The sequence below is a fragment of the Homo sapiens genome, chromosome 6, assembly GCF_000001405.40.
Source record: "Homo sapiens chromosome 6, GRCh38.p14 Primary Assembly".
Lineage (NCBI taxonomy): Eukaryota > Metazoa > Chordata > Mammalia > Primates > Hominidae > Homo > Homo sapiens.
Window position 1 is genome coordinate 38,103,859 of NC_000006.12, and position 19,005 is coordinate 38,122,863.

At 41.7% G+C, this 19,005-nt stretch overlaps 1 protein-coding gene across 4 annotated transcripts in view, besides 1 other annotated feature; it reads left to right on the top strand.

Moving 5' to 3' along the window:
- Positions 1 to 19,005, top strand: part of ZFAND3 (zinc finger AN1-type containing 3) — a 334,898-nt gene that overhangs the window by 284,132 nt on the left and 31,761 nt on the right. For 3 of the 4 annotated variants that reach the window (NM_021943.3, NM_001410904.1, XM_017011171.3), the window contains one exon: positions 12,714 to 12,881. The exons of the other annotated variant lie outside the window; for it this stretch is intronic. In NM_021943.3, coding sequence (NP_068762.1) covers positions 12,714 to 12,881 — 168 coding nt within the window. The remainder of the gene's footprint in view (positions 1 to 12,713; positions 12,882 to 19,005) is intronic. 4 annotated transcript variants of the gene reach the window in all.
- Positions 15,568 to 16,370: an enhancer, noted in NCBI's record as "NANOG hESC enhancer chr6:38087202-38088004 (GRCh37/hg19 assembly coordinates)". NCBI's record gives its function as "activates a minimal SCP1, AML or CMV promoter by ChIP-STARR-seq in naive H9 embryonic stem cells {active_cell/tissue: H9 hESC(naive)}" and the evidence as "EXISTENCE:reporter gene assay evidence [ECO:0000049][PMID:30033119]".

Consider the following 19,005-nt stretch of genomic DNA (forward strand, 5'->3'; position numbering starts at 1 on the left):
ACTGATGCTATAAATGTAGTATTTTTAAACATCAATGCATTGTAATGTTGTTGAACTCCAAAATGCCCAAGCATGTTATAAAAAGGAAAGGTTATCTATTGAGGTTCATTTGTCATTTACAATGAGAACTGAAAACTTTATGAGAAAAAAGTAATATAGTTGGGCAGGCAGGAGAGGTCTTGCTGATATGGAGAAGCTAAAACAAGGAAATGGTGCTAGGCTAAGTATCAGCCACAAAGGATGACTGCTGTATTGCTAGCCTGACAGGTTCCACTGACCAGACACCTCTTTGAGGAATTTAGCTCCTGGCAATGCCCTTTCAGTAATTAGTGCAGTGGAAATGGCACTTAACAAACAGGGATGGTGGCTGCAGTTTTTCAATGAACCCATCCTCATCTGTGCCTTTTTGGTAAAGAGACCTCGCGTATGAGCTGTAGGACACTCTCGGGGTGGTTGAGAAGAGGAAGCTTTGACTTCTGCCTGTGAGACCCATATAAAGCTGAGAAGACATGTTTTGCCTTATCTGATAATTAAAAGCAATAAAATTTCAAATGAAAATACCTAGGTTTTCTTGTGCTAATGGGGAGAAGTTTTTTTTGTATCCTACAAGTAATCAGTAAAGAAACTTTTGTGGATGAAGTCTTTAAAAATAACATGCAAGTATCTAAATCCAAGATTAAGCCTAAGATATGACTGGTGGAATGATGTTGTACATCAGAAAAGAAGATAATGAATAAATTAAGTACTATATGACTACAGTCCACAGAAATCCAGAGAGTTAGCAGGAGTGGAAAGAAAATCATGTGAGAAGTCTTATAAATCATATTCTAAGAGCAGAGAACAAGTAGATTTATTCAGCAGAGATATATCCTAGATAAATTAATAATCATATTTGGACAAGATAATTTTATGAAATAGAGGAGCTTGTTTTCATTCCTATATTTGCCCCAGGATCTGTCCCCTGCCCTCATCCCAGAGACAGCTGGGTCTTTGTATACGCAGAAAGTAGCAGAAAGTTGTCTTCGTAATAAGGTACTCTTATGGGAAAGCAGAAGTAGCATCTTTAAGTGTAGCAACTGTTGGAGACAGGATATATAGTAGTTAAGAGCAAGGACTCTAGGCCAGGCTACTCTTCACTTATTTGTTGTGTGACTGTGGGCAGTTCACTTAACCAATGCCTCAGTTTCCTCATGTGTGAAATGCAGGTAGTAGCTACCTCATAGCCTTGTTGTAACACCAAAATGAGTTAATATATGTAAGAGCATTTAGAAGGTGCTGATAAAGAATATGTGCTTTGTGTTAGTGTTCATTATTGCAATTATTAGGAAGCTTAACTTTAAGGAATCTCTTTTGTCATATCCACCTTCCATGATAAGTGGCCTTAAAAATAGGCTTGTACAAGTCCAGGCATGGTGGGTCATGCCTGTAATCCCAGCTACTCCAGAAGCTGAGGGGAGGATCGCTTGAGCCCAGGAGTTTGAGGCTGCCGTGACCTGTGATCATGCCACTGCACTCCAGCTCGGGTAACAGAGCAAGACCCAGTCTATTAAAAAAAATTTTTTTAATGAGTTTGGACACATGGGTTGTGTACACACTGTATGGTTCCATGTATATGTTCACATATGTGACATTCTTGAAATGACAAAATTCTGGAAATGAAGAAGAAATTAGTTTGTCCCAGGTTGCCAGGGATCAGTGGGGAACAGAGGGAAGTGGACATGGCTATAAAAGGGCAATAAGAAGAATCCTTGTGGCGATGGGAATGTTGTATGTCTTGATGGTATCCATATCAGTATCTTGGTTGTGATGTTGTACTAGAGTTCTGTGAGATGTTACCCTTGGGGAAAACTGGATGAAGGGGGCATGGGATCTCTCTGTATTATTTCTTGTAACTACATGGGAACCTACAGTTACCTCAAAATAAAACATTTAATAATAAAAAGAAAATGGGCTCGGAACATTCCTAATAGAGAAAAATTGGCAGTGAAAGCCATGTGTATATCTGAACAGACAGACCAATATTAGGTAAATAAGGCAAATAAATATCACAGAAGGAAAACTGAGCTGACCATTGACATTTTAGTGAGATGTTCATGGGCCCCCAAGAAAAAAATTGAGCCCCGTGGGTTCAGAGGGAGGGAGAAGACAGACAACAGCTTCATTTCCCTGAAAACTCATCAAACTGGCATTCTCCAAGGGCCTTTGCTTCCCAGACTGTGAAATGTTCTATTTAGTGGATGGTTTTTGGTAAAGAGAAGAAGGTAGATGAGTAGCAACTTACATACAAATGACATTCTTTTTTTTTTTTTGGAGACAGAATTTTGCTCTCACTGCCCAGTCTGGAGTGCAATGGTGCAATCTCGGGCTCACTGCAACTTCCACCTCCCAGGTTCAAGCGATTCTCCTGCCTCAGCCTCCCAAGTAGCTGGGATTATAGGCATGCACCACCACGCCCGGTTAACTTTGTATTTTTAGTAGAGATAGGGTCTCCATGTTGGCCAGGCTGGTCTCAAACTCCCAATCTCAGGTGATCTGCCCACCTCGGCCTCCCAAAGTGCCGGGATTACAGGTGTGAGCCACCACTCCCGGCCTACAAATGACATTCTTAACGGCAGGCCTATGAGAAAAGAATGTGGGGATGACAGGTATGAGCTAAAAATCATCTGTCTACATGCCTGGAAATATAGTAATTAAATCCAGGAGATACCTTGTCTGACTTTTCTCTCATCTACTTCTTAAGCACCCCATCCCCCAGAGTTTATCACTTTTACTTTGTGTGTTCATAACACTCCCCTCATACCACTTAGTATGGCGCTAGTTGTTTGTGTGTGTGTGTGTGTGTATATGTGTATGTGTATATCTTTCCTTCTGGATTGGGGCCACCTTGAGGGGACAGCTCACTACTGTACTTAGTTTTGATTTGTTACTTCAAAGCCCAATGTCTGTTGCACAGTAGGCACTTATGAAATAATGAATGAGATATTGGCTGTTGTCATGGCCCTGGACAGAGTAGACATTAATCGAGAAGCCTATATAAATTAAACAGATCAAATAAACTGGGAATATTATTGCACTAAATGAAATTGTGGTTATTTTTACAAATGAACATTCCTGGGCTTTTCTTTATGTTTTTTAGTCTGGTGAATTTTTTCCTTAGGTTTAAAATAAGAATTTTAGAGAATTGAGTAATGCAGCTATGAAGAGATGTCTTACAGCAACTACTAACAGCAGTGTGGTGTCAGTCAGGAGGTAAAGGGCAATCAGAAAAAGACAAGGAGACCATTGGAAAGGAGATAATTGGAAGAATGACTTGTGTGGCCTGCTGGGTTCAATTTCAGTCACAGAGAATGCCATCAGACTAAAACAAATCATGATTGAAAGCACTAGTAGCAAGCTTATCTCTTAATGTTTGTGTAAGCATCTCCTCCTTGCCAAGACACACATGAGCCATATTCTGATGTCCAGTATGTGGAAGAGGTGAAGTGGAGGCACCTAAAGGAACAGCATTCTTCTCCCCAACTGCAAGGTGCAGTAGAAACTGGGTTGATTACACAGTACCTTCCCTTCACCTTCTTTACTTACGCCAGTCCTCCAGCCATGCCATGTGGGCTTGTCAGGTGCCTGCTGGAAGTTTTACATTTCTGGTTCTGAATGTGTAACACAGAAAGTATACAATTAAATATTCCCTTCCTGCCAGGCACAGTGGCTCACACCTGTAATCCCAGCACTTGGGGAGGCCGAGGTGGGCGGATTACCTCAGGCCAGGAGTTTGAGACCAGCCTGGGCAACATGGCAAAACTCTGTCTCTACTAAAAATACAAAAAATTAGCCAGGCGTGGTAGCTCACACCTGTAGTCCCAGCTACTCGAGAGGCTGAGGCAGGAAGATCACTTGAGCCCAGGAGGTTAAGGCTGCAGTGAGCCATGATTGTGCCACTGCACTCTAGCCTGAATGAATAAATAACCACCTGCTTAAAAGTTACAGGATACCATTGATTGCTTGATTGATTGATGAAGGAAAGAATAAATCCAGGTGGTGGTACATTCCACAGGAAAATTAAGAAGGACTGTTAAAAAAAAAAAAAGCTCACGTTATTTGAATGAATGAACAAATAGTTTGAGGGACATACTGTTCTAAATTAAAAGAGATTTAGACATAAGAGCCAAATGTAACACATGAAACTTGATTGGACATGCCTTTAAGAACAATGAGGGTAATTTCACTATAGACTGAATATTAAATATTGTGTGACATTGGGGCATTCTTAATATTCTTAGGTATGATATTTTGGTCATGTAAGGAAATGCCCTTATTATTAGATATCTGTGTATTCCAGGATGAAGTATTTTGATGTATGTAGCTTATTTTCAGATGGTTCTGGGAGAAAAAAAGTATAAATATGGAGGGGCGAGTGTATTAGGATTCTTCAGAGGGACAGAACCAATAGGATATATATATTTATAAAAAGGAGTTTATTAGGGAGAATTGGCTCACATGATTCCAAGGTGAAGTTCCATGATAAGCCTTCCGTAAGCTGGGGAATAGAGAAGCCAATAGTGGCTCAGTCCAAGTCCAAAAGCCCCCAAACAAAGGAAGCTGACAGTACACGCTTTAGCCTGCAGCCGAGCTCGAGTCCCTGGGAAGCCACTGGTGCACCTCCAGAGTCTAAAGGCCGAAGAATCTGGAGTCTGATGTCCAAGGGCAGGAGGAGCAGAAGCAAGCATCTGGCGCAGAAAGAAGAAAGTGGACCAGAAGACCAGCAAACAGACTTATCCCACCTTCTTCCTCCTGCTGTGTTCTGGCCATCCTGGCATCTGATTGGATGGTGCCTACCCACATTGAGGGTGGATCTTCCTCTCCCATTCCACCAACTTAAACGACAGTTTCCTCTGGCAGACACACCCAGACACATGCAGAAACAATACTTTATCAGCCATCTAGGCATCCCTTAGTCCAATCAAGTTGATACTTAGTATTAACCATTATAGTCGAGTTAAAGGAATGTGATAAAACATTAATTGTTGAATCTGAATGGAGTGTACACAGGCGCTTAGTGTATTATTCATTAACCTTTTCTATATGTTTGAAATTTTTAAATTTATTGAAATTTTTAAAATAAAAAGTTGGGTAAAGACTAAATGCATTTTTCCTATGGTTGGCAACAAACCAAGGGTGTCCTCTCTCAACACTCGTATTCAGCATCATACCAGAAGGACTAGCCAGCACAGGCAAACAAAAAAAAATGGAAGGCATACAGATTAGAAAGAAGAGTTAGAGGGAAAACCTTGCCCTCTAAAACTGTTGGACTTGCTGCCATGACTTTTTTTTTTTTTTTTTTTCTTGAGACAGAGTCTTGCTCTGTCGCCGAGGCTGGAGTGCAATGGCGCGATCTTGGCTCACTGCAACCTCCACCTCCTGCGTTCAAGCGATTCTCTTGCCTCAACCTCCTGAGTAGCCAGAACTACAGGTGTGCGCCACTACCAGCTGATTTTTGTATTTTTAGTAGAGACAGAGTTTCACCATGTTGGTTGGCCAGGATGGTCTCAATCCCTTGACTTCGTGATCTGCCCGCCTCAGCGTCCCAAAGTGCTGGGATTACAGGCGTGAGTCACTGCGCCCAGCCTGCCATGACTTTCATTTAAGATTGTTCTATTTGATGGAGAGCTGTTCCCCCATGGCCCATTAGCTTCTCCTGCTTGATCTTTTGATGAGTTCATAGTCACTTGTTTCTGGTATCATGGTGTACCGCCAAAATCAGCTTCCAAGTTCCTGTGCACCAGAAATGGGAAGGGAAGATGGGCTGTGAGGAAGTGAAAAACCTAATCTCAGTCTTTAAAACATACCTTTGGGGTTTTGGGTACTCATCTCCTGAAGGGCATATGATAATTTTATTATGACTCCTGACTTCTGTGTGTTCTGCGGCTCTTTAAACTGTCTTCTAGTCAAAAATGTCTCCGCAGAAGCAGCTTCTGCGTTGCTATCCGGAGGACCAAAATCTGATTGGTAGATGATAAGAGTTGGCCCCAGGAAGATTTCTGATGCCGTATGTTTTTTGAGCATACTAAGGACAAAGACCTCAAAGCTCAGGTGCACTCCCAAGATGGTCAGCCTTCCTGATCAGCCATTCCAGATTTCCCAATCTTGTGTTCCCAGGAGGAGAGGGAGACTAATGCTTAGGAATTATACTGCCTGGCAGTTTGTGAACAACTGACTTTTTAAATGTTTATGATCTAGGACATGGCATCCTAGGAGTATTTCAAGCTAGATTCGTCTCCATATCAAATGAAGATGATGGCATTCTCCACAAAATTTTAATAATCAGCCTCTTGAACCTTGTTCTCTGTCCACACAATGGCTTTTCAACAGATGTGTTACTCCAAAATTATTTTAGGGTCATTGGGAACATTAAGAAAGGAAGGGAAAATTTCAGTCAAATGAGGTGGGAATTTTTTTTTAATGGGTAGCAAGGTGTTTTCTCAAAGTCTTTCATGGCACACAGAGTAAAATGTCAGGAGAAGATGAATCTAATCCCAGCATATACCCCGAAAGCAAAGCATGAGGAGAAACACAGAAAGTACCTGTAAAGCAGGTTTTTTTCAAGTCTCTTTTATCAGTTTTTCCAGTGAGAGTGTGGTATTTTTCGTGGACAAAGGTTTTACCAGCTAAAAGCTCCTTTTAAGTGGTCGAAGGAGAAACAGCAGTGATGTGTGAGGGTTCGTTAATTATTGCTCTTACTGATGTTTGCACAGGCTGTTGGGATCATAAATGTCAATCTGTCAAGAGACTGATAGGTTCTAAAAAAACTGATTGAGTACCTCAAGAGCTGTCATAGAGCCTGAGATTAAACAGATTCATCTTTCGTAGAAGTAAGGGACGGTGTGGGTGAAGGGAATAGCAGAAGGCTTTCTTCTCTTTGTTGCCGCATTGCTTCTCCCACTCTCCTATTCTGTATTGTGAGTGTTGGCTTGTACGGAGGCCTAAAAGCCTGTCTGCCTGAGATGTCAGGAAGCCACAGCCATGGTTAGTGCACGGGGTGTGTGCAGGCTGCCAGCTGCAGGGTGACAGGAGATTAAGAGAGATTGAGATTCAGCTTTGACAGGCATGACACAATTTATTTGGAAATTTTCAGGCGGGAACATGAGTAATAAAGACAAGAATGACAGTAAGGAACAAATGTGAATTTCTGCCAGAGACAAAACAGAATTTTAAAAGAAGTAGCTCTGTTTGTTGTCTCCAGTTAAGCTTTCCAGTTAAACTGTGTTCTTAAATTGAAAGTCTTAACACTACTTTCTGAGACTGGCTAGGAAAGTACAATTAGAAGAATTCCTCTCTTCAGAAGATTCCATGTCTTTAAAATTACTGTACAACCAGCCCACCATATCCATGGGTTCCACATCTGTGGATTCAACCAACCATAGACTGAAAATATTTGGGAAAAAATGGATGATTGTGTCGTACTGAACATGTAGTTTTTTTGTCATTATTCCCTAAATAATACAGTATAACAACTATTTACATAGTGTTTATATTGTATTAGGGATTATAAGTAATCTAGAGAAGATTAAAGTACAGTTGATGCTTGAACAACATGGGTTTCAACTGTGCAGGTCCACTATGCACAGATTTCCTTCTGCCTCTGCCATCCCAGAAACTGCAAGACCAGCCCCCCACTCCTCCTTCGTCTCCTCCTCAGCTAGTCAGCGTGAAGACAACAACGATGAAGACTTCGATGATCCACTTTCACTTAAGGAAGAGAAATTGTGTTTTCTCTTCCATATGGTTTTCTTAATTTTTTTTTCCTGTAGCTTACTTTATTGTAAAAATACAGTATGTAATACATAAAACATGCAAAATATGTGTTAATTGTCTGTGTGTTATCAGTGAGACTTCTGGTCAGCAGGAGGCTATTACTAGCTAAATTTTGAGGGAGTCAGAAGTTATATGAAAATTTTCAGCTGTAACAGGGGTCAGCGCCCCAAACCCCATGTTGTTCAAGGGTCAGCTGTATACGGGAGGATGTATGTAGCTTATATGCAAATACTTTGCCATTTTATATAAGGGACTTGAGCATCTATGGAATTTGGTATCCTTGGGGGGTCCTGGAACCAATCTCCCTTGGATACCGAGAGACGGACTGTGCAGTACTTGTCTCTCTGTCGAAAATTAAGCGCAGTTACTTTCAAACCAAGAAAGCTAAATAGGCAAAATCCTTCTTCTTAAGATTTTCCTTCCTTATTTAATCACATTATGATTCTTGATCAGACTTTCCTTTGACTAGATCTGATGTGATATCTTTCTCATTCTATTAAACATTGGCAGAGAAAGCAGGGGTCTGGTGAGTACCAAGAGTTGTGAACGTGGAATGGGGGAGCGGCAGCTCTGTGTGGGTATATCTACTACACTAGATTATGTTCTCAAGTAAAAGCATACTGGAAAAAAAGAATCTGCTTTGTTGGCCCTTTATGAAGGACCTTAATTAGAAGTCACTGTTAACTCCTGGGGTGGGAATGGTTTCCAGCTTGGCACGGGAGTTCCTCCTGCTACTAATGAGCATGCTCCTTGCAAGGACTCGCTGCTTCTGACAGTTAAAGCTGCATTGTAAGAGTTATTTCTTGTCACCTCTCTCTCCACATTTAACTGTTACTGCCCAAGTTCAGAGTATGTAAGTAGACTGTTAGGTGTTTTCAGGAAATTGGCAATGCTTCACGGTAACAGGGAATGATATTTGTGAGTAAAAGTAAATCATTACAGGTTAATTTATTCAAATATGGGTAGTAGATGGTTGCTTTAATGTCAACCATGTTTGGATTTTTTTTTCCTGGTAGTCTTTTTCTAATTGACATAAAACTTACAAATGAATAGTTGAATTATTTAATTCATTATCATGTCGTTAGAACCCCTGCCCTGGACATCTGTTTCTCTTATTTAAGCAACTCGCCCTGTGGCACAAAGGTTTCATTAACTAATTAGCAGAGGAAATGTAAATTTCTTATGCAAGTGAGGATGATTCTATAGATTACTATTTATTTCATTAGCTTCTCATTAAAACACTAAGTTGACTTGTGAGAAAATGCCGGAGAATGGTTTGCTTCTCGAAGAAATTACACATACACAGTCACCTTCTTGGGCAATAGCTTGTGGAGGATAGTGAGCAGTTTTGGAAGCTTATTTACCCTCGCTCTTGGTGGCAGGGAGCATTAGAGAGCATCTAACAGATCTTCATCTAGGGAAGGGTAAGTGGGCATATTCCAGAGCTTCAAAGGTGTGGATCTCTTGCTATCTGGAATAGTTCTTTGATTCTAAAACATAACACATTCTGTTAGACATTTCTTCTGCCTTGCTTTAGAATCATCTAGCATTGCTTCCTGGGGCCCAGACTTCCTGTACATGGATGCCTTTGGTCATAGACTTGTACGGATGCTGGGACATTGATTGTCAGAGGATCGAGTAGGGCTTAATGGTGTTCTTTTAGGATGATCAGTATATCATACCAGAAGCTGTGGCAGCATCAGAAACCTCCTTTAGGATTCATTGTTCAAGAATATTCCATGCCTACTGCCTACCAGAACAAATAACTCAGTGGTCTTTATATTAATGTGGAATAGATCAAGGAAAATCTCAGCATGGGATCATGTAGACATTCCTTAGTGTTGCTATTGAATGCCCATTGGTCAGGTAAGATGGGGAATTAAGAGAAAAAGAGGTCAAGACTGCACAGGCCTCCTAACTTTGCAGGGCAGGGGTTGGGGGGTCCCATCAAAGTGGGTTGTTTGGTGATGACTAATGATTGTGATTATGTAAATATGAATTCTATTTCTCAGCCATAGGACTCATACATTTAAAAAATTTTTCTTCACATATCTAACTCCCTTACTTATTTGGACATAGTTACCTTATGGATAATATTGCCACACTGAAATTCTTTTTGTCTTTATTTTTTCCCCCGGCTTCATTGACACAGTGAAATTAAATTGTCTTCTCCTTGCAGGAAAGGTTTGTTTTAGAAATGGGTGCTTTGCAGATGAACAGCATGTTTGACGGTTTGGGATAGATTCATGTAGAAAGAGCTCTAAATGTGAACTCTGCATTTTCAGACACAGAGGTGTGAAAGAAAGGGGCTCAGGGTCTGAGCAGTTCTGTGTTAGAGTAGAGGTGTGCTGGCATTGTGCCAAGGCCCTCCAGATTTTAATCATAGTAATAATGAAAAGGCCTCAGCTGCCTCCCCATCTTGTGCTGACACCTGCCTCCCAGTGGGAGTAATTTCCTATAAGGATGCTTTGAATTTAGGACTTTGTCTCAGAAAAAAACATTTTTTGTTACAGTTTTTACCCTAGAATTTTCTTGTTACAAAAAAAAAATTCTAAATAGGGTTATTGATACAAATAGAGCCATTGCTGGTTTGTGTAAAAGGACCCCGCCCGCAGAGAGCAGTGTGGCTCATACAAGGTGAATTTCTTTCAGCTGACTGCTTTGTAATGATTTATATTTAAATTGTTGCTTGTTGCTCTTGTAGAAGAAGGGAGAGCGCCTGCCCTATCTGTAGCCACCTTACTCACCACACTGACTGGGCCTGGACAGCTTTGCTCAGCAGAGCTGGGAAATAGGCTGAACTTGCCTTCAATTGTTTTCATCAGAGTCCTTATTTAGTTGGTTTGTATTGGGGCAAAATGTCATGTAGGACTGGAAGAATTAAATGAGATGAAAAATGAAGTCTGTAGTTGCTAAGAATGGTGCAGGGCCTCCATATGCCAGTACAGCACAGCAGGGCTGGGGGACTATGAGCAAACTACCAGCATCACCATCGGGGTCCACTGGACAATCTTGGGTGAAGTGCAGCATCTTCCTCACACACAGGGAGGCTAGGAAAGGGCATACAGACAGCCTTCACTAAAATACATCCTATAGGCTGTGGCTTCTCACTAGAGCCACTTTAAGTAGAACATTAGGACTGCCTAGGAGACAAATTCATTCATTCAAAAAATATTTATTGAGCCATAGGCATGGAGGGAACATCAGTAAACAAAGCAGGTGAAATTTCCTGCCCTCTTGGAGTTTGCTTTCTTTTAGGGCATAATGTTAAAGATAAGTGCTGTGGAGGAATAAAAGGGAAACAGACGAGGGGAAGTGCTAAGAATAGGGATTCAGTGATCTAGAAGTGATGATCAGGGAAGAAGCCTTCAATGAAAATGTGACTTTGCAAAATAAAATTTAAAAGAAAATGTGACGTTGGAGCAAAGATATCAAAGGGAATGATGCAGGGCCTCCATATGCCAGTACAGTGCAGCAGGGCTGGGGGACTGTGAGCAAACTACCATCATCACCATCAGGGGCCTGGGTGATAAAAGAGATAAGATCCCATGTAGATCTGGGTGAAGAGTGTTTCAGACAGAGGGAATAGAAGGTACAAAGTACCACAGGTAGGAGACAATAAGGAGGCTAGTGTAGAGATAAGCAAAGGAAGGAAAGCAGCAGGAGCTGAGCGTGGGGCAAGTCATGCAGGGTATTTGAGAGTCTAAGTATCTGGACTTTCACTCTGACAAGGGGAGCTATTAGAGGGTTTTGAGCAGGGAAGTAACATGATCTAACTTGATTTTTAACAGAGTCACTTGTCTGCTATGTGGAGAATAGACTGTAGAAACAAGGGGATGAGCAGAGAGACCAGTGAAGAGGCTCTTGTAGTAGGCTTGATGAGTTGGTAATGGCTTAGACCAAGGTGGGGGTGACAGAGGGGTAAGAGGTGTGGCATCTGGATTATTTTGAGGAAGACTGTTTAGGAGACTCCCTTCTGGAAGTAATTTAGCACAAACAATTTGGAACTTGGTAAGAGGTACATCGTGGGTATGCAAGCAGCTGTTTCAGGAATACAGAGCCCCAAAGAGCTGCCCAGTTTATTGAAGGCAAGAGTCGTTTACAGCCTTGCCTGTGATAAGAGCTTTGTTGCGTCTTAATTACTTTTTTGAAGTTGTGCAAGACACAGTTTTCACAGAGTACACCCCCCTCCACCTACCATTTTGGCTCCACCTCAAGGTGGGGTGCCTGGTGCTGCTGCTGCTGCACCACCCCATGGTGGAGTTCATAGGGCAGCTTGCATGTGTACCAGCAGAGGTGCCCCTTCATTCTGAATCAAATTGAACTAATTGTCAGTATTAGAACCTGACTTCTGTGTCTTTAAGAGTAGAAACGTGAGTAATTTTACTATAAAAGATTACAGATCACTCATCAAACGCTGGCTTTGGGAATGGAATTGTGAAAGCATAGTGATACAGAGATACATTAGACATAGTCCCATCTCTAAAGAATTACGGTCTACTTGAGGACAAGCAAATGCCCAAGAAAAGATATCTAACCAATACAGGCAGTAAGCATCTAGGTCCCAGCAAGGGAATACAAAGACAGGACCCCATTTCTAGCTGGAATGGTCTCCTCATAGAATCTCAGCTCTTTTTAAAAACAACAACATAGAACTGGTTTTTGTTGAGCCACCCACACCCTCCTCTCCAGCTCAGGCCTAGCTTGTTAGAAGTCAGCACTAAAGGTACACGTTTGTCATAGTTTGTGCAGTATAAACCAAGCAAGTCAGAACTGGCTCTCACCTGTCTGATTCCTGGACAAGGGCAGTAGCCTGGTCAGGAGAATGCCTGGAAATACATTAATCAACTGTGCTTGCCAGGCCAGGCACTAATCCTGATCCCCAAATATGTTGTTTTGGTCAGATTCACAGTCTGAGAATGAGGCTTCACCAGTAAAACGGCCACGACTACTTGAGAATACGGAACGGTCCGAGGAAACCAGTCGATCTAAACAGAAGAGTCGACGTCGGTGCTTCCAGTGCCAAACCAAACTGGAGCTGGTGCAGCAGGAATTGGGATCGTGTCGCTGCGGTAAGCATCTCCCCCAGTGGCGTGATGGAGACTATATCCTTAACACCTTGGCCCAGCTTTGGAAATTTAAGTGGCTGAAGTCTTTCGTTCTTCTTCTGAGTACTGTAAGTTTGCTACAGTAGTGCATGCGATATAGGTTTGGGGCTTGAGAAATCAGGAGCATAGTATGTTTGCCTCTAAACACCCTTTATTCTCACACATGCAAAAAAGACAAAAACATCCCCATGTTCTTAATGCATATCTCCTTAGAGCTACATCTCACTGCTTAGTGCTTTCAACTTCCCCCCACCACTTACTACTCTGGTTTCTTCTCACGACTTCAGAAGTTTACCAAACAAGCAAAATTCTGGAGTATGTACCATAAAATTCAGATATTAAGTTAATTTTGAATGAGCTTCTTACTATTTATGATAAATGGAAGATTTTTTTTTCTCCATATCCCTGTTAAATTAAGCTTTGATTAGAAAATTACCTTTGAACCTTAGTTCATCTAGTCAGTTAATACCTTGAAATAGCCTTTTTTTTTTTTTTTTTTTTTTCCTGGGCTGAATCCATCCTCCTGCCTCTGCCTCACAAAGTGCTGGGATTACAGGCATGAGCCACCATATACCCAGTCTGAAATAGCTTTACAGTCACCTTTCCTTCTGTATTCTGTAGTGTAATACCTTTTAGAATTGCTGCACAGGGATGCCTACCCACAGTGGAATGAAACTTAAGTCAACCCTTTCTCTCTTCTTGACCACATGTATCATGACACATAGGAACGAAATTGTGTAGCAGCATTATTTTAGGCTGATTTACAGTTTCCTGTACTTGTTTTTATTTCCTGGTTTTAAAACCTAATATTATAAAATTGTTTGAGGACCAGTTCAGCTGTCATCAGGTTGACTTTGAGACCTGTCTGTAGCCTCTGAGAATCCTATTTCTTTCTTTCTGAGAAGTCAGCTTTAGAAGCCCCCTTTCACTTCTGGGACAGCCGAAGATATCCTACAAGTACTATTGCTGACAGTCAGGACTAAATAGTTCACTCAGCAGTTATAAAGTAATGGTCACTGGAAGTTTACTATCTTCTGAAGCGGCAGCCTTTGCTGCTACGGTTCCTCAATTATCTGCCCTATTGGAAATGGGAAGGAAGAGAGAGGTTATTAGCTTTTCATAGAAACTACGTTGGAACTCCTATTCCTGTTTTGACCAGATACCTGTTTGTTACACATTCTGGTGTATGCGGTACTCCACGAGATTAGAAGTGCATATTCAACTGCAGAAACCGGAACCAGCATGGGGAGTCTAAATGTTACCAGATAAGGTTTTTAGGGCATTTTGGTTATAGTGCTAAGCATTTTTGGGAAACCGTAAAGAGGGTTAGGATAGGTGGTGGGAATAGAGGCTGACAGCAGTTTTCAGATGTCCGTGTGTTCATGCACGCAGTATGGCCCAGGTAAGTTCAAAACCTTATTCTTAGGCTATTTCGATCAACCCTGCCAGGCAATTTTAAATTCTTGGTGATGTAGGGCAGGGACACTGTGGATGGCTGAGGAAACTCTGGGCTCTGCTGGCTAACCAGCTTCGCTCCACTCTGCAGAGGCTGTCTCATCTTTTGTGATCTGCAAATTCTTGCTTTGGTCTTCATGTGAACTCTCAGGGAATTTGAGCAGTTCAGTCTGTTACCAGTGTTGTGAGCCTACCTGGTCATTTTAGCTGTTGCTTTTGTAACGTAGGCTTTTGGTTGTTCCTCAGTTAGAATTGTGGGACTTTCCTGAACCTTCTGTTCTTGTTTCTTCCTTGAAAGTAACTGAATCCTGGGTATTACACAGGATTTGCCATAGCGGATCAAGCAATTGGTCTATCAAGTATGCTGTCTTGTCCCCGGCAGTGGCTAATGCTTCTTCTTCTTGTCAGGCAAACAGGAGATTTCACAATTTAGCACTGAGATCTAAAGATGTAACCAGGTCTCCTAGTTTACCCTTCAGCTTTGACGCAGACTACCTAATTTCCTAAGGTCTTAGCATCCACCTGAAAAAAAAGAAAAAAAAAAAAACAGTAATATATGTTAGATGACTTCACATTCACTCAAGTAAAGCCAACTTGTCTAATCTCTGGTAAATATAGATTACTCTGCCATGCTCTTAACCTTTGTGGGCAGGAGGCTGGATTGCTAAATGCATATTGGGTTTGCTTCAGTATGCATCCTTTTTAAATGTTCTAACATGTAGTCTCTTGGCTTGTGCCCAATTCCGAAAGTCTGCTTTTAGGGAGATTTGACTTTTTCTGTTGGAGAAGAAAGCCCTGAGCTTTCTGCAGTCTCAACAGGATGTAACTTTCCTAGAGTCAGCTGGGCATTCAGTTTGACCCACTGAGAGCATTACACTTATGTGCCCAGAAAAATGACTGAGTCGACTGTCACCCTTCAAAAGATGAAGGACAACAATGGGAACATGCCATAAAAAAGTCTGGGACTGTTTTTGACAAAGAGCTCTTGTGTTCCTCCTGCCTGCTTGGATCTCTCTAGGAAAGGGTGAGTTGTACTGTTATTTCCTTGAGGATGCATGGATGTTGGAGAGATGTTTAACTGCCCTGAAAGGTTTTAGAGGGGGGATAACACAGTAATTTACTACTGAAAGTGAAGACTCAGGAAGGTAGTTTGAGCTCAAACAGAACACTTCTTCCCTGCAGAAAATCTTTTTTTAAATATATATTCGCAATCTTTTCTTCCATTTGCCTTCCATTCTGTACAGGTTATTAACTGCTGACAAGAAATTCACATCTCATAAATAATGCTTAAGAGCCATTGCTATATAAATTGAATGTGTTATGAATTGTGATGGGCCTTTTTGTAGCATTCGATGCCTAGAGCAGGAAGAACAGAGGATGTCATTTTCATTAATTTCTAATGAGGTGCCAATTAAAGGCAGGGAAGACGCTCCAAAGGGAAGAGTGGCCAAGCTCCCCTGAATCCTCCGCCCCAGGGCTGTCGTCCAAACACTGCCAGTGAGGCCTTCTCTAAAAATTCCATTAAATTACAGTCTCATCGAGAGCACACACAGACACATTCAGCTTCCCTTTGATCTTCAAAAGAGCAATTTGTAAGGCGAGTTCTGAGCCTTCTTACATAGGGAACAGCTAGAGGTGATAGGAATTGTTAATTGCCAAGACACTTCATGGGCTTTCAGTAAGGAGGAATTTTGAATACGAATTCTCCTCTGCCTCCCTGTGACTAGATAACCTTTAAATCAACAATACCAAAGTAACACCCTTTTCCTGTGAAATCTTTCAGGGTGCCAATTAGAAAAGGCATGTGGTTGCGAGGCTGGGATTATATCCTGCATCTTAGAGCATCTTCAATAGTTTAACTTCTCAAGATAGAAAACAGTTGCCTGAAAATGGATCTATTTGTTTCATTTTCTACTCAGTAAGCAAATTGATCAGCTCATTGTCATTGCAGGAGTCTTGTCTCCTGAATTGACACCTAGAGGATGTTCTTCTGCAATCTGGCCATCTTCATCAAATCTGGGCCACGTCACAGCCACAAGAATGCCGTCTTCTCTGAGCAGATCTTGATTGATACACGTAGCTTGGCTTCCTTTTTTTTTTTTTTTTTTTTTTTTTTTTTTGTGGAGACGGAGTCGCCCAGGCTGGAGTGCAGTGGCACGATCTCAGCTCACTGCAACCTCTGCCTCCCAGGTTCAAGCAATTCTCCTGCCTCAGCCTCCCTAGTAGCTGGGACTACAGGTGCACACCTCCACGCCTGGCTAATTTTTTGTATTTTAGTACAGACAGGGATTCATCATGTTGCCCAGGCTGGTCTTGAACTCCTGAGCTCAGGCAGTCCACCTGCCTCGGCCTCCCAAAGTGTTAGGATTACAGGCATGATCCACCACGCCCGGCCTTCTTGGCTTCTTAATCACTGTGCAATGCTTGCTAGAACTGCAGAACTAATTTTTAAATACCAGTTGAAGAGTGTAAGTTTTAACATATTTTCAATTGATGGTGCATTAACAAACTTAAGTGGATATGCTCCCTTTGGGAACAGTAGTGCTTTTATTAACCTCCTGAGTAATCTGACATCCTTTATTGTTTTCAAAATAAGTTTTCTCTTCACTTTAGAAACCTGAAGTGATGTGTTAGCTGGGGCCTCTGGAGTAGTTGATCATCTCCAAGTGCCTCAGTGGTCATTGCTGCCTTATCATTCACTGTCAAACCAAATTCATCAAGCATTTACTGAAATCTGAATATGCAGAAAGCATTTTCTTAGGTTTTATGGGGAATATAGGAGCTAGAAATACAGAATCTAAGAGCTTACAGTCTAAATCTGTGGCTTCAAGCTTGAGTAGGGGCCTGGTGTGGTGGCTCATGCCTGTAATCCCAACACTTTAGGAGGCCAAGGTGGGGGAATCCCTTGAGGCCAGGAGTTCAAAACCAGCTTGTTGCCCGTCTCTATTTTTTGTAGAGATAGGCAACATAGTAAGACCCTGTCTCTATGAAAAATTATTGCCAGGCAAGATGGTGCAACCCTGTGGTCCCAGCTACTTGGGAGGCCAAGGTGGGAGGATGGCTTTCAGCCCAGGAGTTCGAGGCTACAGTGAGTCTTGGTCACACCACTGCACTGCAGCATGGGCAACAGAGAAAGACCATGTCTCTTAAAAACTAAAAAACAAACAACAAAAAACAAGAACCAAAACTTGAGGGAGCATCACAATTTACCTGGAGGGCATGTTAAAAACAGATTGTTGGGACCCACACCCAGAGGTTCTGATTTGGTAGAACAAGTTCCCATGGAATGTTTTCACAGCCTTTCTGTTTTTTTATGATATTGACATTTTTAAAGAATACAACCCTCTATCCCTCCCCTCACCTATTTTTTAGTAGAACACTCTTTATTTGGGGTTTTAATAGAACACTCCTTATTCTGATATTTCTTCATAATTAGATTCAGGCTACGAATTCTCACCCAGACTACTACATAAATAATCACGCATCCTTCTCAGGGTTTTATGGGAGGCACAGATGTCCATCAGCCCTCATTGTTGATGTTAATTTTGATATACCCACCTAGTCAGGGCATTCCCTGGTTTCTCCACTATGTAGTTACTATTTTTCCCCTTGCACCTATAAACCAATCTGTGGGAAAACACTTTAAGACCAAGTAAATGCTCTGCTCCTCGTGAAAAATTTTCCCTAGATTCATCATCCATTGATGATTCTTGCCTAAGCCAGTCTCTGCTAGGAGGGTTGCAAAATGATGATTTACTAACTCTAGCACTCCCTCAGCATTTACTATTTGGCACTCAGCATTCTTCTATAAGTGAAGCCACCTCCTCTCCCCCATTTATTTATCTGTTACTGGCATGGACTCATGGGCTCTTATCTTTTTTAATGGTTTATGATTTGTTATGGTACAGTTGTCCCCTGGTATCTGCGGGGAATCGGCTCCAGAGCCTCCCATGGATACCAAATTCAAGGATGCCTAAGTCCCTGATATAAAATGGTGTAGCATTGCACATAACCTACGTACATCCTCTCATATACTTTGTCATCTCTAGATTACCTAGAATACCTAATACAATGTAAATGCTATGTAAATTGTTACATGCTGTGTTGTTTAGGGAATAATGACAAAAAGAAAAAACCTGTGTCAGTGCAGACACAACCATCATAGGCCTAACTACATTTTTGATCTGTGGTCGTTGAGTGCGGAACCCATGGATATGGACAACCGACTGAACTTAATTATTTTGGTGCTCAAATTGTCCTGGATTTAGCCAGTGGAAGTTATTTTCTGCTGGCTCCTGTGCTCTTGTGGCATACTTCCCATCTTTCTTCAGTGGTGGGGGGAGGATTTGGGAGCATTCCCTTATTCTTTGGCGTAACAGCATGTGTCCCTAAATTTCCCCAATCCTGGAATCAGCCACTTCTCCAAGGACCCCCAAAGTGATTTTAATATGCACTCAAGTAGGTATTTGCTGGGCCCAAGAGGAAGGCAGACATACATAAAATAACTGGAACAGCCTACCATAAGCATTTATCAAGGTATAGGTATAAGGTATAAGCCTATGTTATAGTGATATGGAGAGGGAGAGATTAATTGCAACTCAAGATTCTGGACAGGCTTTCACAATTGGGGCTT